General features: G+C 39.1%; 1 protein-coding gene and 1 long non-coding RNA gene across 15 annotated transcripts in view, besides 2 other annotated features; one reads left to right on the top strand and one right to left on the bottom strand.

Moving 5' to 3' along the window:
• The window catches only part of HECTD2 (HECT domain E3 ubiquitin protein ligase 2), a 105586-nt gene extending 103153 nt beyond the window's left edge, over nucleotides 1-2433 (bottom strand). For 8 of the 14 annotated variants that reach the window (NR_145526.2, NR_104291.3, NM_001284274.3 and 5 more), the window contains exon 1: nucleotides 1092-1324. Coding sequence is in view for 6 of the 14 variants with exons in the window: in NM_001284274.3 (NP_001271203.2) it covers nucleotides 1092-1229 (138 nt within the window). In the remaining 8 variants the exon portion in view is untranslated. Of the gene's footprint in view, nucleotides 1-895; nucleotides 1040-1091; nucleotides 1325-1725; nucleotides 1981-2246 lie in introns of those variants that run through there. The other 6 variants (XM_047424658.1, NM_001348365.2, XM_047424659.1 and 3 more) reach the window with 4 other exon arrangements.
• The window catches only part of HECTD2-AS1 (HECTD2 antisense RNA 1), a 304499-nt gene that overhangs the window by 199793 nt on the left and 82681 nt on the right, over nucleotides 1-22025 (top strand). The gene's annotated exons all lie outside the window — the stretch shown is intronic.
• Nucleotides 968-1557: a silencer, noted in NCBI's record as "silent region_2607". NCBI's record gives its function as "represses an Ori minimal core promoter by ATAC-STARR-seq in GM12878 lymphoblastoid cells {active_cell/tissue: GM12878}" and the evidence as "EXISTENCE:reporter gene assay evidence [ECO:0000049][PMID:35858748]".
• Nucleotides 1708-1917: an enhancer, noted in NCBI's record as "active region_3763". NCBI's record gives its function as "activates an Ori minimal core promoter by ATAC-STARR-seq in GM12878 lymphoblastoid cells {active_cell/tissue: GM12878}" and the evidence as "EXISTENCE:reporter gene assay evidence [ECO:0000049][PMID:35858748]".

The following is a 22025-nucleotide window of genomic DNA, read 5'->3' as shown; positions in this document are numbered from 1 at the left end:
AATTTCCAGTTATCAGGGCCCTCAGACATTTTTGAAAAACCTACCGAATCCGAAAATTATTCCTAACACCAATACAGTACTTAACGAAGAGTGAGCTATTTTAGTAAGTTCTTAGTCATTTAAGAGGGAGGTTTTAAGAAATGAACCGCAAGTAGGAATAAAGAAAATGTATAATGTTCACTAAACTTTTACTATTTTGTCACACACAGCTGCATGACAAGTCATGATCTTTAAATATATCAAAGCAAACTTTCAAAAAGTACTTAAATATTATGTCAAAATAAAAAATTGCAAAATCCGAGGTTTTTTTTTAAATTGTGCTTCAAATTAACCAGTCACAACCACCAGTAAAAATAGGGAAAGAGGGGGAGGGGGCTGTCCCATGACATCATCTGGCAATATGTAGTTTGAAGCCTGACAGCGCTCTCCAAATAACCCTTACGAAGATACAGCTGGGAAATCATCCCTGTCAAGCTTAGATAACTTGGGTTTAAATAAAAGGTTCAAAAAGCCTCCCCCCACCTGAGTCACATGTCTGTACCATATGAAAAATAAAACCATCACTGATGCATCTACCTCCCACTACACTGACAGCAACGGAAAGGTCACAATTAAGTGGAAACTCGCCGCAGAGCCTGTTTAATCTGAAGGGGGAAGGGAAAGAAAAGCGAAGAAAAGGACAAAAATCTGCGCGCCTCCAAGGCAGGCAGGCAGGCAGGCACCTCCGTGGAAAACCCACTCCCGCCTGCTGACACCTATGCTCATCCAACAGATCATGCCGACTCAAGATGCAGGTCATTCTCTTAGAGAAAGTGGGGGCCCAAGCCCCAGAAAATAACCCAAACATCCAGCGGAACCGACCACCCCCAACATTTCCCGAGGGTGGTAGGTGTACCTCGCGAAGTGTTCGGGGCTGTCCACGAGGCACAACTCTTTTATTTCTGCCCAAGGAAGGGCGGCCTGAGTGCGTCTCCCTGGAGTGCCAGGGCGTGCCCAGGGTAAACGCAGGCCTCCTGACGGCCCTCGCCCGGCCGCCGTCCCTCCCAACTCCCGCCGTCCGGGGCGCCAGACGGCCCCGGCCCACCACCTACCGCGGTCGCGCCGGCGCCCGCCGATACGATGGGCGGCAGCTTCTCGCGCTCTGACTCCTTCCCTTTCCTCTCCTCAGGCGCGGGCGCCGCCACCACCAGCGGAGTGGCGGGCGAGGGTACCCGAACCGCCTCACTCATGTCGGGCCGGGCGGCGGGAGCGCCAGGCGGCGGCGGCGGCCTCAGTGTTGCTGGGGCTGGCGCTGCTGCTGCCGCCGCGGCCGCGAGAGGGCTCTGGGCTGCCGCTTCTAGCCGCCGCTGCCGCCGCCACTCCGCCCCCGCCCGCGCCCGCGCCTTTGCGCGCGAGCCCGAGGCCGCCCCCGCGCGCGCCAGCCCCGCGGACGCGGCTCCCCACAGGTCCCACAGGTTTCTTGCTCTCGCCTCCCCCGCCCGCCCGGGGCTCGCGCGTCGCGGGTCGGGAGCGCCGGCGGTAGTCCCCCTCGTCAACCCCGAGGGCCCGGAGAGAAGGCGCCACGGTCGACGCCCGACCGCCATATTGTTTGCAGAGTGTCGCCCGAGATGACGAGGAGACCCCGCACCCGGGCCGCGCAGGAGAACCTGGACTAAGGACGGGCAGTCGGGGAGACAAGTCGAGCCCTGCAAAGGGTCGGACGGGGATAGAGTGTCCGAGTGGTACCAGTAGGGCAGGACGTAGGCACAGACTACCCTTCACGGACGGCCCTGGCCTGCGGCGCCGAGTCCCGCGGGCAAGCGCCCTCGGGGTCTGGGCTGGTGGCCTTTCGCCTTCTTCCAGGCGCCCACAAAGCTGTCCGCCTTGGGGCTTCTGCCTTCTTATCCTTGCCCGCCCTCCTGAGCCCAGGAGAGGCGGCCCGGAGCTTGCGCAGCCCGGGGAGACAGCCTTCCTGGCTCAGCAACCGACTCTTTTGTACACGCCTGGATGGCTTCAGCCTACACAGGAAAAGCCTGGAGGTGGGGAGGAGTGCGACGTGGTGGGCCCCCCCTTTCCCCTTCCCCCATAGGATTGGACGGCCAGTCCACACTTTCCATTCCTGTTCCTCTCGTCCCTCTTTGACTGCCAAATCCGCCTCTCCCTTCCCGTCCCCACGCGCCTACGTTTTGCTCTCTCCCCGCAACCCTTTGCTGTCTCCTATCCGTCCCTTCCTTGTTCCTTTCCGTTTATGTTAGAGATGTACATACCCAAACTCTGCTGCACAGTCCTCAATCAAATCATTACAAATAGGAGTAAAAACTTGAAAGCCGAAGAAGAGAGCTTTTAATTATGAAATTAAAATACCCCCCACCTCCACCACCAGGACACCTAGACAATTTCCTTTCCTTTCTTGTCGCCCCCTCCTTTTCCTTTTTCTCAGTCTACTGGAGCGGCGGGGACACCTGCTGATCTAGGAGAAAAGAGAGTAAGAATGCGCTGTATCGCCTGTTAAAAGCAAGGAATTTCGATATTCAGCTCTATCAGATTTTTTATCTGTGCCTTCATTATTTTATTGGAGGTTGAGTGAATTTTTAGATCAAGAGTACCTAAGTCCAAATATAAGAACCAAAAATATCTCTGAAACAAACCCAAATATGATTTCGGGGTATCTATTGTTTACATAATTTGGAGTTATTAGTATAACTAAATACTAGTTATGGTGCATCATGAGATAAGGTTGCATGTTTTCAAACCCACAATTTGTAACAAGTAGATCTGAAGCAAACAATGTTGCCTTCTAAATTTTGAATTCTGACTTTCATTTATAGAAAGGCTTTCTACTTTAATATAGTTGCTGTTGCCACCTATTTACTTGTTAATTAACAAAAGGTATAGAATAAGTGCCATATAGTCAGCAAAAAGTATTTCAGTGCTAATAGCCTTGGAGGGAAAATGATGTATGTCGGCATTACTTTGAAGCATCCTCCTCCTTTCTATTAATATTTTTCTAAATTCTTTTTCAGGATTTTCTTTCCTTAAAACTACTGAAATACTCATCCCATAGAGAGGAACATAACATTATTTTCTGCTTTTAGCAGGTCTGTATGCTGATCATGGATACAGGAACAACTCAAATGTTATTTTATAAAATGAAGCCTTTATTTTAGCTGCAATTTCAGATATTCTGTGCTAAGTCTAGGTTGATAGAACAAATACTAGAGGGAAAAGTATCCTCTTTCCTATTGTTTTCAACTAGATTTAGTAATTTGCTATAAAAATGTTTGGATGAGAAACCACTTGGATAACAGGCCTTCTGCTTTCTTTTTTCATGTGTGAGACTAAATAAAAGTGTGTCTGTACATGTAGTCACATTCAATAGAACAAACTGCTTAAATATTGGCAAAACAAGGCAAGTCAAAAATGTTAATTTCTGCTACTGCACCAGAGTAGATAACCCATTTCTTAACAAATTCTCTGATTAATTAGCTTGTGAGTTCCATGTAAAAAATGATAATTTGTTCATGTTTCCTTTGACTTCTTATTAAATAAATGTCCTCAATCCACCACCTCATCCCTCCCTCATACATAGTCCAGGAGGGGGCTGGAGAATGGGAATGGGGCCTGCTGGAAAGCTGTAGAATTATAGCTCTGGGGGAACTCGTGGTGTGCTTGAGAGACACATTCCCAACTGCCATCAGTGTGCTTCTGGAGACCCAGGTGGGAGAAGAGAGTGTTGTAAAGCAGGACATACAGAGAGCTCTGGCCATTCTGTACAGAGGTGTGGAGAAGATGCTTTTTAGCTATGCCAAGTGTCAGACGTGCAACAGTGAGGGTATCCAAGTATAAACTCATTCGCTTTGGAAAAACTAGGAGCGAGGCAGAAGAAGCATTTCATGTTTCTAAGTCCAGATGGAAGACCTGAGCTCATTAATTATACCTATGGGGAATAGGGTTTGGCAGGGTGGGAGTGAGGGTTAGAGAACTCATTATTTCCCTGGAAGAAAAAGAAAGACAAAATTACAAGGTAATGGAAGGTCGAAATTATAGATAACTTCTATTTTAATTATGTATAGTAATACTAATGTAGTGAACAATAGCAAAATAGGTGCACAGGTCATTTTAGAATGGTTTATACCACTAATACCTTAATTTTAGAAGGTATAGCTATGAAATAGTGCAACTTATTTTAATATTTCAACTGAATGTTGTCCTAAAGTAAACTTGGGGAAATTATTTTAGCCATGTTGACCTTGTTAAAAAGATTTTTAGAACTCTTTCTTAGGTATAATGGTTGTGGATTTTTAAAATTACTATTTAAAAAATAACTTGGCTGGGTGTGGTGGCTCATGCCTGTAATCCTAAGACTTTGGGAGGCCAAGGCAGGTGGCTCACTTGAGGTCAGGAGTTTGAAACCAGCCTGGCCAACATGGTGAAACCCTGTCCCTACTAAAAATACCAAAAATAAATAAATAAATAAATAAATAAATAAATAAATAAATAAATAAATAAATTTAGCCAGGTGTGGTGGTGGGCACCTGTAATCCCAGCTACTCGGGAGGCTGAGGCAGGAGAATTGCTTCAACTCGGGAGGCAGAGGTTGCAGTGAGCTGAAATCGTGCCACTGCACTCCAGCCTGGGTGACACATCTCACAACGAAACAAAACAAAACAAAAAAACCTTTTCTTTGTTTAAAAAAAAAAAGATGCTTTGTCATTACAGAAAAACAGAAAATACAGATTAGCAGAATCATTTAAACTAAGTTTCGATAGTCACTAAGACCTTGCTGTGTATCTTTACAGAATCTCTTGTATCTATCTACACACACACACACCCCACAGTGTTTCTTCCTTTGTTTTTATAAAAATTGAACGTACTGAAACACTTTTGAATCTTTGCAACTAATTCTTTAGAATAACCCCAGTGATGTGATAAATCTTTATCTTTAGAGAATGATTTTTTAAAATTGCACAATGCTATACACAGCCAAGACTGAAGAATAAAGTAGATGATGATCAAGCTTTGTATTTTTAATCAGACTTCTCTTGAATCTGTTCTCTCTCTGGATTCCCATTGCCATTGACCTAATCAAGGCCCTTAACATCTCTAACCCCAATTATTTCCGTAGCCTGGCAACTGGTCTTGCCTTCAGTTTCTTACCTGCTCTAATGGCCGCCAGAATGACCTATTCAGAATATGTAATTTCTTGCCAGCCCTTTGTTTTAAAATACTGTAGTAGTCTTTCAAAGCCTTTATGCTAAAAATTTTCCCCCTAGTGTGGCATTCAGCTGAATTCTTTGCAAAAGAAGGCATTTTCTTAATGTCCTAAATAGAATCATTCCTTTCTTTCCGTTCCCAGATCATGTTGTACATACTTACCTTTATAGACCTATTACATTACATCTTAGTTTTTTGTTCCCCAAATAAGTCATGGCACAGAGGGGAAAGACTATGTCTAATTAGTCCTTGAGTCCCCACATGTAGCACACTACCTGGAGTATGCTGTTGAGGAGGCACTCAGCAAACTCAGAAGAAACGAAACAAGATGTTTTATTGAAGTGGTTTGTACAGGGGCTCTGAAATCTTTTCCAAAGATAAATTATAAAAATGCTCTGAGTGATGGACTATACTCATTCAGATGATTTGGTCTTGATATTGCTTCTTTAAAATCTTAATCTTCTAGAGCAGTGCTATCAGTAGAACTTCCCATAATAGGGGAAATGGTCTGTATCTGCACTGTCCAATATGGTAGCCAATAGCCTCATGTAGTTTTTGGGCACTTGAAATGTATCTATTGTCAGAGGAATTGAATTTTTAATTTTAGTTCATTTATGTAAGTTGTATTTGAACAGCCACATGTGACTAGTGGCCACCATATTGGACAGTAAATTTTAGAGCTGCATCTCAGCTGTAAAAGAGCAAGTCCAAATTAGTGGCACACTAATTAATGAGCCTCATTGTATCTTAACCTCATTCTTCAGAATACATGCAAACAAATGTTCACCAAAGTAGTGAGAGCAGGTTTAAAAGAGCGCTGATAAAAGCCTGAAAGGCTAAGTAACTTCTTCATTTTTTATTGTTTCTTTTTAAATATTGTATTCACAGAAGTTTGCATTTGTTGGTGAAACCACATTTAGCTGTATCTTGATTTGACCAACTTCTATAGAGGAGTGACCTAAATTAGAAGAAAATGTTAGTAACAGTAAAAATTGAGGTGGCTGTGTGTGTTTTCAAGTTGGTTTTGGATGTCCTCTTTAGATATTTTCAAAGGAAATGCTAATTAAAGAGTTCTAATTAGTTCTAATGCTAATTAAAGAGTTGTGCTTGATAAACTAGTTCTATAGAACTGCCACATGTGAAATTCTAATGGTCTGACCTGGATATATTGGTAACTCTTCTAAATCTTAACCCCAATTTTACATTTGTTTTCTACGCGAAACCAAGAAAAACGACAACAACAACAACAAAAGAGTAAATTGTACATCAGAAGTATCCTATGCATGATGTACCTATTTAAATTTTTATTGAGTCTAAGTTAACTTGTGTATTCTAAGGCTGCTGAAGTCATCAAAACAAGTTAGAATGGCATATACTGCTATTCATTTTTACCTTTTGTCTTGCTAAGAGCACCCTGATTTAATTTCACATAACAGCATGCTCAAATAAAAGTGATTTCTTTTCTGGACTTTCTCGCAGCTAGGGGTGGCCATGTAACATTATTCTAGCCAATGAGGTGTATGCTGACATTTTAGGGAAAGTATTTGCTACCTTTATTCTGCCTGAAATGAAGATATGATATGTCAATTTGGTGTTACAATCTTGTAACAGGAGGCTGCAAGCATAAGGATGAATGTCAAAACACTAAGGACAGGGTGATGGAGAGAGAAAAGGAATCTGGAACAGTCCTGAAATTGTAGAACTGCAACACCAGCTTGGACTGCCTATATCTGGATTTCTTTTTTGTGAGACAAATGAATTCCTATCTTGTTTAAATCCATATTAGTTCCTCTGTCATTTGCAGCTAAACAAATTCCTGTCACACTTAATGCACACGCATACGTGCACATGCATGAGTGCACACACACGCATACAAACCCATAGTTTTTTTGTCTTAGTTCATCCCCAAACTAGTCAGTTGGTTAAAATTCTACTGGTTTAACCTGTTGTTTCAGGCACAGCTTTAATTGAGTAGAATAGCTATCTTCTTGTCTCAATTCTATGATTAATAGTAGTTCAGGAATTACAATAACCTTTATAAAAACATGAATTTTCTTCTTCAGAGTTGGAAAAGATGCCTCTACACTTCAACTCAAAGTATTAGAAAGAATAAAATCAGGAATTCTGAAAATTGACTTTAGTCTTGGCTCTTCCAATTTTTAACTAATTATGTGGCTTTGGCAAAATCACTGTATTTGAATTAATTCGCTCAACGTTGCATGAGTGTTGTGGAAAAAAGTGAAAAAACATGCAAAAGTGCTTTGTGAACTATGCCACATTTTAATAAATCCAACTTAATGAGCACTGTTGGTTACTAGAAACTGTGCTAAGCACTTTCCATGGATTTGTTCATGTCTTCTCAGAAACCTGCTTTTAGTATTACTATAGAGTAGGGACTCATTCCCATTTCATAGATGGGCAAATTAAGGAAGTATACCTAGTAAACTGTTCAGATTCATCTCCATACTTGCCACAAAGCATAGACTAGCTGTTCGATAAATGTTTATGGGAAGAATAAATGTTCATTTTATTTATTTTGCTATCCTATAATTGCATACCATTTAGGGTATTATAAACCCATAGTTTATAATTTGGCCACATAATAAAGGACTGCTATTGGAGGCCTACTCAGCACTTCCCTGTTGTCCAGCATTCTAACAGAACATTTTCTACTAGAGATACTGAAATAATCAGCTTTTACTGAGGTAAAAATCCAGTCTAAGCATCTTTGGCTAATAACTTCTCTTGCCTACAGAGGGTTTTGAGGACATATACAAAGGATCCCTAGTCTTTAGCACACTTCCTAGCCTTCAGGCTCAACAAATATTGTTGAATGGGTAGACGTTAAATGCTTCACAGATACTGCTTTTGGGGACCCTGCAACTATTAATAGTATTATAATCATGCTGTGGTCAGTAGGGTGCATTCTGGAAAGATTTTAATAAATCTTGTATTCTTTAAACATATCAGGTATCGGAGTTTATTTACTTTTTAGTTTTTTCTAGCTTTATTGAGATATAATTGACAAAAATTGCATAGATTTGAGGTATACAATGCAGTGTTTTGATATATGTATATCTTGTGAAATAGTTACCACAATCAAGCTATTATTTCCATCATCTCACATAATTACCTTTGTGTGTGTGGTGAGAGCATTTAAGACCTACTCTCTTAGCAAATTTCAAGTATACAATATAGTATTATTAACTATAGTCACCATGCTGTTCATTAGATCTCCAGAACCTATCTGCTATGGTTCGAATGTGCCCCTAAGAGTTCATATGCTAGAAACCGACTCACCATTGTAGCAATGAGACTTTTAAGAGGTGAGTAGGCCATGAGGGCTCTGTCTTCATGTATGGATTGATGCTGTTATCGCAAGAGTGTATTTGTTATTGCAGGAGTGGGTTTGCTATCATGAGAGTGCGTTTCCTTATGGAAGATTCAGTTTAGGCTTCTTTTGCCTCTTTCTCACTCTTTCTCACCCTTCTGTCTTCTGTAATGGAGTGACTCAGCAAGAAAACTCTCACCAGATGCTGGCACCAGAACTTTTAGCCAATACATTTCTGTTCTTTATAAATTACCCAGTCTGTAGTATTCTGTGATAACAACACAAAACCAAAGGCATTATTTGTCCTGCATAACTGAAACTTTCTACTTTTTAACCAACATCTCCCCATTTTTCCTGCCTCCCAGGCCACGGAAACCACCCTTTCTACTCTCTGCTTCTATGAGTTTAACATTTTTAGATTCCATATATAAGTGAGGATCATGCAGTATTTGTCTCTTTGTGCTTAGCTTATTTTACTTAGCATAATATCCTTTAGTTTCATCCGTGTTGTCCCAACTGACAGGATTTCCTTCTTTTTAAAGGCTGAATGACATTCCTGTGTGTGTGTGTGTGTGTGTGTGTGTGTGTGTGTGTGTGTGTGTGCTTGTCTTTATCCATTCATTCATCCCTGGACACATAGGTTGATTGCATGTCTTGGCTATTGTAAATAATGCTGCCATGAACATGAAAATGCAGATATCTCTTCAAGATACTGATTTCATTTCCTTTGCATATCTATCTATTAATAGAAATGGGATTGTTGGATCATATGGTAGTGAGGAACTTCTATATTAATTTCCATAATAGTTGTACCAATTTCCATTCCCACCAACAGTGCATAAGGGTTTGCTTTTCTCCATATCCTCACCAACACTTGTTATCCTTTATCTTTTTGATAATAGCCATTCTCTTTTTTTTTTTTTTTTTTTTTTTTTGTGACGGAGTCTCACTTTGTCTCCAGGCTGGAGTGCAGTGGCGCAATCTCGGCTCACTGCAACCTCCACCTTCTGGGTTCAAGCGATTCTGCTGCCTCAGTCTCCCAAGTGACTGGGACTACAGGCGCACACCACCACACTCAGCTAATTTTTGTATTTTTAGTAAAGACTAGGTTTCACCATATTGGCCAGGATGGTGTCGATCTCTTCACCTCGTGATCTGTCTGCCTCAGCCTCCCAAAATGCTGCAATTACAGGCGTGAGGCACTGTGCCTGGCCAATGATAGCCGTTCTAATGGGTGTGAGCCGATATCTCATTGTGGTTTTTGATTTGCATTTCTCTGATGATTAGAGATGTGAGCATTTTTTAATATAACTGGACATTTGTGTGTCTTGTTTTGAGAAATGTCTTTTCAGAGCCTTTGCTCATTTTTAAATCAGGTTATTTGTCTTCTTGCTATTGAGTTGTTTGAATTCCTTATGTATTTTGTATATTAACCCCTTATTAGATGTATGGCTTGTAAATAATTTTTCCTACTCCATAGGTTGTCTCTTCACTCTGTTGATTGTTTCCTTTGCTATGCAGAAGCTTTTTAGTTTGATGCAATCTCATTTATCTATACTTGCTTTTGTTTCTTATACTTTTGGAGTAATATCCAAAAAATTCCTTTCAAGACCTATTTCAAGATTTTCGCCTGTATTTTCTTCTAGTAGTTTTACAATTTCAGGTCTCACATTTAAGTCTTTAATCCATTCTGACCTGATTTTTATAGATGATATGAGGTTAGGGTCTAATTTTATTCTTTTTCTTTCTTTTTTTTTTTTTTTTTGAGATGGAGTTTTGCTCGTTTCCCCAGCTGGAGTGCAATGGCACGACCTTGGCTCATTGCAGCCTCTGCCTCCCAGGTTCAAGCAATTCTCCTGCCTCAGCCTCGCAAGTAACTGAGATTACAGGCATGTGCCACCACTCCTGGCTAATTTTGTATTTTTAGTAGAGATGGGGCTTGCCATGTTGGTTAGGCTGGTCTTGAACTCCTGACGTTGGGTGATCTGCCCACGTCGGCCTCCCAATGTGCTGGGATTATAGGCGTGAGCCACTGCACCCGGCCTAATTTTATTCTTCTGCATGTGAATATACAGTTTTCTCAGCACCATTTATTGAATAGATTAACTTTTTCTCATTGTGTGTCCCTGGCATCTTTGTCAAAGAACAATTGACTTTAAATGAGTGGAATTATTTCTGAAGTGTCTATTCTGTTTGATTGGTGTATATGAATGTTTTTATGCCAGTATCATACTGTTTCAATTTACTACAGCTTTGTAGTATATTTTGAAATCAGGTAGTGTGATGCCTCCAGCTTTGCTCTCCTTGATCAAGATCACTGGCTATTTTGGTCTTTTGTGATTTCATGTGAATTTTAGGATTGCTTTTTCTATTTATGTAAAAAATGCCATTGGAATTTTGATTGAAATTATATTGAATCTGTAGATTGCCATGGATAGTGTGGACATTTTAACAATGTTAATTCTTCCAATTCATCAACATAGGATATCTTTTCATTTATGTGTGTCTTCTTCAATTTCTTTTATCAGTGTTTTATAGTTTTCACTGTACAAAATTTTCACCTCCTTGGTTAAATTTCTTCCTAAGAATTTTGTTGTTTTTGAATGGTATTGTAAATGGTATTGTTTTCTAAATTTATTTTTTAAATAGTTAATTGTTAGTCTACAGACTAATAATTTTGTATGTTTATTTTGTATCCTGCAACTTTACTAAATTTATTAGTTCTAAGATTTTTTGTGGAGTCTTTAGAATTTACTATACACACCATACCTTATGATGGTATTACTTATTAATTTTTGACTTTACAATGAATTTATTAAGATATAATCCCATTGTAAATAGAGGAGTTTATGAATTATGATGGTTCATCTTATGATTTTTCAACCTTTTGATTGATTTGTTGGCACATAACTTGATGCATTCCAACTTAGAATATTTTCAACTTACCATGGGTTTATTGGGATGTAACCATAAGTTTAGGAGCATCTGTATATAAGATCATGCTACCTCCAAACAGAGAAAATTTTACTTCTTCCTTTCCTATTTGATGAATTTTGTCTTCATCTTGTGTAATTGCTCTGATCAGGACTTCCAGTACTATGCTGAATAGAAATGGTGACAGTGGGCATCTCTGTCTTGTTCCTGATCTTACAGGAAAAGCTTTTAGCTTTTCACCATTAAGTATGATGTTAGCTGTGGGTGTGTAATATGGCCTTTATTAGGTTGAGGTACATTCTTTCTATACCTAATTTGTTGAGAGTTCTTATCATAAAAGGATTTGAATTTGGTCAAATGCTTTTTCTGCATCTATTGAGATGATCATATGATTTCTATTCCTCATTCTGTTAATGTGGTATATCACATTTATTGATTTGCATATGTTGAATGATCCTTGCATCCCAGGGATAAATCCCATTTGATCATGATGTATGGTACCATTAATATGCTGTTGAAGTTCATTTGCTAGTATTTTGTTGAGGAATTTTTGTATCTATGTTCATCAGGGATATTGGTCTATATTTTTCTTGTAGAATCCTTATCTGGCTTTGTCTTCAGGGTAATGAAGACCATAAAATGAATCTGGAAGTGTTCCCTCCTCTTCAATTTTTCAGAAAAGTTTGAGAAAAATTTATGTTAATTATTCTGTAAAAATTTGATAGAATTTACCAATGAAGCCATCAGGTTCTGGGGCTTCTTTTGTTGGGAGGTTTTTGGTTGCCTATTCAATCTCCTCACCCATTATTGGTCTGTTCGCATTTCCTATTTCTTCATGTCTTCAGTCTTATTAGGTTGTATGTTTCTAGAAATTTATTCATTTCTTCTAGGTTACCCAATTTGTTGATATAGAATTGTTCATTTTAGTCTCTTATGATCCTTTGTATTTCTGTACTATCAGTGTAATGTTTACTCTTTCATTTGTGATTTTATTTATTTGAGTCTCTTCTTCATTAGATTTGTCAATTTTATCTTTTCAAAAAGCCAACTCAATTTCATTATTTTAAAAAAATGTTTGTCTCTTATTTATTTCTGTTTGTATCTTTGTTATTTCTTTCCTTCTGTTAACTGTTGTATAGTTTGTTCTTCTTTCTAGTTCCTTGAAGTTTAAGGTTAAATTGTTTGAGATCTCTTTTTTTTTTTCTTAATATAGGCAGTCAGCACGACAAACTTCCCTCTTAGAACTGCTTTCATTATAAGTTTGGTATATTGTGTTTCTATTTTCATCTCAAGATTTACTTCTAACATTTTAAAGAATTTCTTCTTTGAATCATTGGTTGTTTCAGAATATGCTAATTTCCACATATTTATGAATTTTTCAATTGTTTTCCTGGTATTGATTTTTAGTTTTATACCATTGTGGTTGCAAAAGATAATTTAAATCTTATATTTGTTAAGACTTACTTATCTATTTTGGAGAATGTTCACAGAACATGCACTTGCAAAGAATATGCATTCTACTGCTGTTGGATGGAATATTCTGTATATGTCTGTTAGGCCCATTTGGTCTGTAGTGTTGTTCAAGCCCTCTGTTTCCTTAGTGATTTTCTGTACAGATGATCTATGCATTGTTGAAAGTGGGGTACTGAAATAATCTACTATTATCAAATTGTTATATGTTTCTTCCTTCAGGTGTATTAATATTTTGCTTTATTTACATTTAGATGCTCTGATGCTAAGCACTTATATATAATTGTTATATTCTCTTGATGAATTGACTCCTTTTTCATTATATAATGACCTTGTTTGTCTTGTTACAGTTTTTGACCTATAGTTTATTTTGTCAGACATAAGTATAGCTACCCTGGCTCCCTTTAAGTTACTATTTGCGTGGTATATCTTTTTCCAGCTCTTCACTTTCAGTATATGTGTTGTCCATAAACCTAATGTGAGTCTATTGTGGGCAGCATATAGTTGGATCTTGTGTTTGTTTTATAAAATTATTCATTCAGCCATCTATGTCTTTTGGTTGGAGAATTTAATCCATTTAAAATTAAAGAGTTATTGATAGATAAGGACTTACTACAGGTTGAGTATCCCTAATCTGAAAATTCAAGATCCAGAATACTCCAAAACTTGAAACTTTTTGAAGGATGACATGATGCTCCAAGGAAATGCTCAGTGGAGCATTTTGGATTTGGGATTTTCAAATTAAAGATTCTGAGCTGGTATGTATAATGCAAATATTCTAAAATCCAAAAAAAAAAAAAGTCTAAAGTACCTCTAGTCCCAAGAATTTCACATAAGGAATACTCAACCTATACTGCCATTTCATGAATTCTTTTCTGTTTTTTAGTTCCTTTGTTTTTTTTCATTCTCTCTTGCTGTCTCGTTTTGTGATTTGATGGTTTTGTATAGTGATGTGCTTTAATATCTTTCTCTTTTGTGCAACTACTACAGGTTTTTTTCCTTGTGATTACCATGAAGCTTGCACAAGACATCTTATAGTTATAACAGTCTACTTTAAGCCAGCAAGAGCTTAACTTTGCATGCAAAAACTCTACACTTTCTCTCTCCCCTGCTCATAATTTGTTATTGATGCCACAATTTACATCTTTTTTACATTGTATGTCTATTAGAAAATTATTGTAGCTATAGTTATTTTTAATACTTTTGTCCTTTGACTTTTATACTAGAGTTAAAAGTGATATACACACCACCCCATTACAGTATTACAGTATTCCGAATTTGACTATATTATTATCTTTACAATGAATTTTTTACTTTTGTATATTTTAATGTTACTAATGAACATCCTTTCATTTCTGCTTGAAGATTTTCTTTAGCATCGCTTATAAGGCAAGTGTAGTAGGAAGAAAATCCCTCAGCTTTTGTTTGTCTTTATCTCTCCTTCATTTCTGAAGGACAGCTTTGCCAGGTGTAGTATTTCCGGTTGGAAATCTTACTCATCTTATTCTTTCAGTACTTAGCAATATGATCTCACTCTCTTCTGGCATATGAGGTCTTTGCTGAGAAATCCACTATTAGCCTGATCCACTGAAATCCCTTTTATGTGACAAATTGCTTTTCTTTTGCTGCTTTCAAAATTCTTTGATTCTTGACAGTTTGATTATAAGGTGTCTCAATGAATATCTCTTTATGTTTAATCTATTTAAAGTTCTTTGGGCTTTGTAAAGCTGGAGGTTCATTTCATCCACATATTTGGGAAGTCTTCTGTCATTATTTCTTTAAGCTTTCTTCTCTCTTTCTCTGCTTCTATTTGAGTCTCTCATAGTGCATATATTGGTTTGCTTGATGGTGTCCCATAAGTCCTGTAGACTCTTTTCATTCTTTTGTTGTTGTTGTTCCTCTGACTGGATAATTGCAAGTAGCCTGTTGTTGAGCTCACTGATTCTTTCTTATGCTTGATTTTGCCAGCTTGTTGAAACTTTCTATAGAATTTTTCAATTGGATAATGTTTCTCAGCTCCAGATTTTCTGTTGGGTTTATTTTGGTGTGGCTTCAATCTCTTTGTTGAACTTCTAATTTTGTTCATGAATTGTTTTCCTGATTTTGTTTCGTTATCTATCTGCATTCTTTTGCAGCTCACTGAGCCTCTTTAAGACAATTATTTTGAATTAATTGTCAGGCAGTTTGTAGATTTCTATTTGTTTAGGATCAGTAACTGATACTTTATTTTGTTCCTTTAGTGTTGTATGTTTTCTTGATCTTTTTGGCCTTGCTTTGGTGTCTGGCATTTGAAGAAGTAGGCATGTCTTTCAGTCTTTACAGACTGGCTTCAGCAAGGAAAGTACTTCACCAGTCAGCCCATCCACAGATTCTGGGTGGGCTGACTGAAAGGGTCTATTGGTGGGCTTCATACTAGAGTCCCTGAGTGGTCTGAACTGGTGACGCTTTCCATGGGTGGATGGGCCTGGTGCCTCAATCCATGGAGACTGGCCTGGTACTGGTACTAGAGTCTACTGGAGTGAACCTAGTGACTAGATCTGGGAGGATGGGCCTAGAGCTTGGGTCCAGGAGGGCAGGCCTGGAGTCTAGGCTTGTAGGGGCTGGCCTGAAGCCTATGTTAATGGGGGCTGAACTGGCACTGAGGCAGGCCTTGATTCTGAGTCTGTAGAGGCTGGCCTGTGGCTGGGGTGGGCTTGGAGCCTGGGTCCTCAGAGTCTCAGGGGGCCAGTGTAGCCCTAGTGTACACTGAGGCAGGCCTGGTGCTGGGGTTTGCAGTGACATTTGATGCTCATTGCACTCTCCTTCCCCACTCACAGAGGGCCTTTCTGTCCATACTACACTACTCAGGCTACTACTACTTGGGGGTGGAGTGATATAGGTAATGTGAAACTGTCCTTTCTACTCTCTCCAGTGCATCCTTCCCCATCTCTATGCTCCACCATGTGCCATAATCTCTCAACTAGATTTTCCAGCTACTGTGAAGGTATTCTCATGTATGGATGGTTGTTCAGATTGATGTTTCTGTGAGGAAACTAGTGACGGAAGCTCCTATTCCACCATCTTACTGATGCAACTCTGGAGTTTACTTTTTAAAGAGCAGGCAAATATGAGATTGGTTTCCAGTATCACTATTTGGGCAGAGGCATTGATATTCATGAGATGCACTCACATGGTAAATCTCCACAAAAAAAGGAGGTACTTTAGGCCTTTCTGGGGCTACTCCATTTCTATTATATTTTTCTTCAAAGGAGGCTGATGCACTGAGTTATTTCATCAGCCACAGGATAACAGGATCCTGTGGTAGAGGATTGCCCACATGAGGACACCTTCCAGGATGTCAAGGAGTTCCTGGCTTCATGGTCTATGCTAATGCATTCTAATGATCATGGACCGCTATTTCCTATCTTTGACCCTTCCGTTCACTGTGAAGGAAATTTTCTTAGTCACAGAATGCTAAATGGCACTAAAATACCTATTTTTAAAAAATTGCTACCAATATAGAGGTATTAATATATTAGTAAAGAAGCTCATAGTGAAAGTCCAGAAGTTCCATGATGATCTTGAAACTTAGATGCTTTTGTAATTTATACTGATTATAAACCTCTTTTGGAAACACATTTCTAAGGAGAAATCTGAATTCTTGGTGATGTCCGTAACAATTTATATTGTTAGATTCTTTTGTTCATTGCTGCTGATGAGACATTTGTCTATAAGCCCAGAAAAGCCAGGCTGAAGGTCAGTGTCCTCTGCTATTTCCCACTGTAGATATTGTGCCACTGAAAGTTTTACTTTTAGAAGGTTTTCCTGACCAAATTTTTCTAATGGGCAAAAGCAATAAATTAATCACTAATTGACTAACATTATTGATCACTTACTGTATAGTAGGCCACATATTTGACTTGGTTCCTAGGATATAAGAATTAATGAAACTATCCTTAAGAAGTATTACAGTACAGTGCAGTGGTCCTCAAACTTTTGTGTGCAGCAGACTCACTTGGGTAGCTTATTAAAATTTCTACTTTTAGACTTCACCCAGAGACTAGGGCTGTCAAGTTGAGAAATTACCAAGGGAGGATAAGGGAGAGGGTGGCCTTCACATTGTATTCTATGAGAAGGGTGCTCCCTGAAATGTCATGTACTGTTTGTGTGAATGTAGAGTCTGAGAAATATGGGCTTTGTGATGTCTTCCCATCGTCAATTTCTCCATCTCTTGGTGCATACACATCCCCCAATTCCCACCCAATGTGCTTTAGGAGAAGATGTCTCCATGTCTGCTTTTAAGAAGGCACATGGCTCAAAGTAAATCTGTGCAAGTACGTCTCTTGAGTGATTCGCTCAGGAATGGGAACTTGACCTAATTCAGCTTAGCAAGATGTGAAGTGTTTTTCCTGCAACTTTTAAGGCAGGTTGCTTCCTTACATAGAGAACTTGGAGGAACGAGCTCTTCTCTCTTCCAAGATGTGGTGGAGGAAGCAAGTTCCCAGGGAATTGGGGATAGTTCTCTTCAGAATGAAGCTGATGCCATGGAGGGCAGAGAGGAAGAGACAAAAGGAACCAGATGTGTGATGATATTGATGAGCTACTGAACCCCTTTGACTCATTAAGTCCTCTTTCTTTGAAGAAAGAGTTTGAGTTTTGTTATTATTGTTGTTGTTACTTGCAACAAAATAAGCCCTAGCTGGTATGGCAACTTTGGGAGTGGGCCCAGAAATCCTAATTTTTAATAATCTACTCCAGGTGATTCTGAAGTAGACGGTGGTAGATCTAGTCTAATATATTTGGCCAGAATTATTTTCAGAGAGTAGTGGTGTTTACTTCATAATCTTAGTTTTGAAGACTTTTAAGGAGAACACATAGGTTAGTTAAAACATTTAACTAAATTATATTTAATGAATTGTATGTTGATGGATTGAGTCATTTGTCCGTAGTACATCTGCCAGAGATAAATGCTTTTGAAAAAAATCCTACATTTTCTGCTTTTCTATCATAAGACATGATTTGATTGCAGCCACAGTGACACCAATTATATATTTTTTATCTGTTGAAGTGGAGAAAATGGGCTCTAAGTAATCATTACTTAGTGAAAATTGAACTGTCATCTCAAATTGTCAATACTCAGATTAGAAAATGTAAACAAAACTAAGTTCCTTTACTCTTCAACTCCACACAAGTGAAAATGCTGCATAAAATTTGATAGGCACAATTATCATCATTTTACCCTTTCAGATGTCAGCTCATTCTATTGATCTACATTCTGTTGATGTAATAGTTAAATATTAAAATTTAATGAATGCCAGTTAAAAATGGACCCCCAAAATGTATTGTTTATTAACCTGTATCTTAAAGGATTAGGCATAAAAAGATTTTATGAATGACAGTTCATGAATATTATTAATGTGAATTGAATTAATATTCATTTACTTGAAGCTGCTCATTATATCTGTGATTAACCTTTTACCTTCCTAAAGAGATGATGTTTTATAAGGAAAAGACACAAAGGAAAAGGGATTAAAATAATCTTAAAATAGTCTCATAAAGGGCTGGGCGCGGTGGCTCACACCTATAATCCCAGCACTTTGGGAGGCCGAGGTGGGTGGATAACTGAGGTCAGGAGTTCGAGACTGGCCTGACCAACATGGTGAAACCCCGTTTATACTAAAAATACAAAAATTAGCTGGGTGTGGTTGTGGGCACCTGTAATCTCAGCTACTAGGGAGGCTGAAGCAGGAGAATCGCTTGAACCCGGCAGGCAGAGGTTGCAGTGAGCTGAGACTGTGCCATTGCACTCCAGCCTGGGTGACAAGAGTGAGACTCCGTCTCAAAAAAAAAAAAAAAAAAAGTCTCGTAAAATTCCAACCTGCATTTTTTTTTTATTTTAATTTTTTTCGGAGACAGAGTCTCATCTGTCCAGGCTGAAGTACAGTGGTGTGATCTTGGCTCACTGCAACCTCTGCTTCCCAGGTTCAAGTAATTCTACTGCCTCAGCCTCCTGAGTAGCTAGAAATACAGGCACCTGCCACCATGCCCGGCTAATTTTTGTATTTTTAATAGAGATGGGGTTTCGCCCTGTTGGCCAGTCTGGTCTTAAACTCCCGATCTCAAGTGATCCGCCTGCCTCAGCCTCCCAAAGAGATGGGATTACAGGCATGAGCCACCATGCACCGCCCCAACCTGCCCTTTTAAAAGACCTTCATTCCATTAAATAAAATAATGTTATATGATTCTAAAACCCTTATCTGTGGCAATGAGTCTCTTCATGACTGTTTGAGGGAAAAATTCCACTGGTCAGTACAGTAGGCAGAATTTCTAAAATCATCCCCCAAGATGTTATATCCAACTACCCAGACCCTCTGCATGTGATGAGATTCAGTCCTGTGATGGTGTTGTATTATATGGCATAGTTAACCTTAAGATAGGGAGAATATCCAGGTGGGCCTCATCTAATCAGATAGGCCCTGAAAACAGGAATGCTTTCTGATGCTGCCAGCAGAAGTCAGAGAGATTCTTAGTGTGAGAAAGGCTCCCTGTGCCATTGCTGGCTTTGATGACAGAGAGAGCTATCTGAGAATGTAAGTGGCCCTAAGGAGCTAAAAGAGAGGCCCCTGGCTGACTGCCAGTCAGGAAACAGGGATCTCAGCCCCACAACTGCAAGGAACTGGATACTGCCAACAACCTGAATGAGCTTATAAGTGGGTTCTCTGTAGAGCCTCCAGATAAAAGCCCAGATGGCCCACACCTGGGCCTCAGCCTTGTGAGCCCCTAAGTAGAGAAACCGGTGAAGCCTACTCCTGACCCACAGAACTATGAGATCATGAATGTTTTTTTTTAATTAATCTACTTAATTTGTGATTTTTGACACCATAATAGAAAACTAATATAGTCAGGAAAATTATGAGCAAAACATTCACGGTAGAAGGGATCTCAGAGAGCTTCTAACCACTGGTGTCCTTGACAAAGAAGGACCCTAGACACAGTAGACAGTGTGAAACCCAAGCTATTTCAAAGCTCTAAAAAGCCTAAATTAAGTCACACAATTATTAATCAAATAGTGCTGTACAGACCTACTTAACCTTGATAGATGATAATCAAGTTTCTTTGTTTTTACCCTCACTAGAATGTAAGCACCACTTGGGCAGGGATGTTGACTCTTCTGTTCACAGTTATCCTTAATGTCAAGAACAGAACCTGATACCCAGTAGGCATTCAATAAACAAATACATAATTAGGGCCAAAATTATATCATCAGTATGATAAAAACACATTATTCAACTGTTAACAATTACTTATGCTTGAATTCATTAAAGAGATAATAATAAACTTTGAATGTGTAAATGCAGTTAGATTGGCCAAATCATTCAAAACATAGGCTTCATGGGTAGGAAAAAATAACAAAAGGGACATTAGTTATTAATTTGTGTTTTTTTTGAAAAACATTTTGTCCATTCCCCCTTCTAAAAATCCAGATGAGGAAACTGAAGCCAAGTGAGGTTAAGTAATAAATATGTAACTGTTAGCTAAATTGTGGTACTGGTTCTAAATGTTTGTGATAGAAAGCCGTTTAATCAAAATGAATCTGTCCACATTCGAAACTGATGGGTGCTGCTGATAAATCAACTGTGGGAAGAAAAAGTGAAAACAGACTAAAAAAAGCAGGCTTCAGAGCCACAGTTACTGGAACACAAACTCCATTCCATTTAGTTTAATTAAACCAAACTTAGCAAACATCTATGATGTGAGATATTAATAGACACTCTGGGTTATGAGGATGAACAGACATGCCCAGATCCTCCAGGATTTCCAGTCTAGGAGGGGAGCTAAGGCATGAACCCAGGTAAATGCAATACAAGGTAGAATGTGAAGGGTACTACTGGGGGGTACAAATAAAGAACTATGGGAGCAAAACTGGTGGAGAGCTTTTTTGTAGCTGGAAAGGTGGGGAAAAGTTTCACAGAGGAGGTGTCATCTGTTGCCCTGGAAATGGCACTGAGTGGAGTTTCCTCTAAAGTTTATTTACATTGTACAGAAGAAATGTCACATCAGAAACTTGTCCCTTGAGGCCAGGCATGATGGCTCATGCCTGTAATCCCAGCACTTTGGGAGGCTGAGGTGGGCGGATCACTTGAGGTCAGGAGTTTGAGACCAGCCTGGATAACATGGTGAAATCCTGTCTCTACTAAAAAATACAAAAATTAGCTGGGCATGGTGGCACGCACCGTAATCCCAGCTACTCAGGAGGCTGAGGCAGGACAATCGCTTGAACCTGGGAGGCAGTTTGCAGGGAGCCAAGATTGCCCACTGCACTTCACCCTGAGTGACAGAGTGAGACTCAGTCTCAAAAAAAAAAAAAAGAAAGAAACTTGCTCCTTGAATTCTTGTTTCATCACTGGTCTGAAATCTAAACAGAAGGAAAGCCAGCTGTAGAATTGCTATGTTCCAGAAATAAATATACAGAAACTTCTTAAATTGAAAGTTACACTCGATTTGTATTCTACTGAATTACAAGCACTCATAAATGTTTATTTCCTTGTAATTCATTTCTTTGTTAGATACAATGATGCTTAATTCCACCTTGTGGTTAACGTGGAGGATGGAGCATTCTGAGAATGTGAGAACATACAGCACTAATTTATTAGGATAGCTGCTTTCTGTCTGAGATGAATCCCATCTCCAATCCCATTTGTATTTTGTAGTTTTTTCTCTCCAGGCCAGGCAATTAATCCTTATGCTCTTTAGCACTCTGGCACTTAGCCTCTGTTTCAAGTGTTCTTTTTACATTTGTTGAATGTTTCCTCAAACTTAAATACCGAATTGACTAAAATGCATGGAAAAATACAAAGAATATGTGAGAAATATGTTATTTTTTAAAAAGTTACTTTCGTTATTCATCTGGAACTGCACCTGTGGTGTATAGTAATCTCGGTTACATTGCCCTCTAGTGGTGGTAGTACGGTAGTCATCTTATTAACATTTATTGAATATCTGCTGTGTAGGTAGGCTCTGAGGATATTGAGACAATTAAGAAACAGTTCCTACTCTTGTTGATTTCTCATTCTAGCAGAAGATGCATTTCAGCATAGCACGTGTGAAAAGGAACTGT

The sequence above is a fragment of the Homo sapiens genome, chromosome 10 (genome assembly GCF_000001405.40).
Source record: "Homo sapiens chromosome 10, GRCh38.p14 Primary Assembly".
NCBI lineage: Eukaryota > Metazoa > Chordata > Mammalia > Primates > Hominidae > Homo > Homo sapiens.
This window is presented reverse-complemented; position numbering and strand designations above follow the sequence as displayed.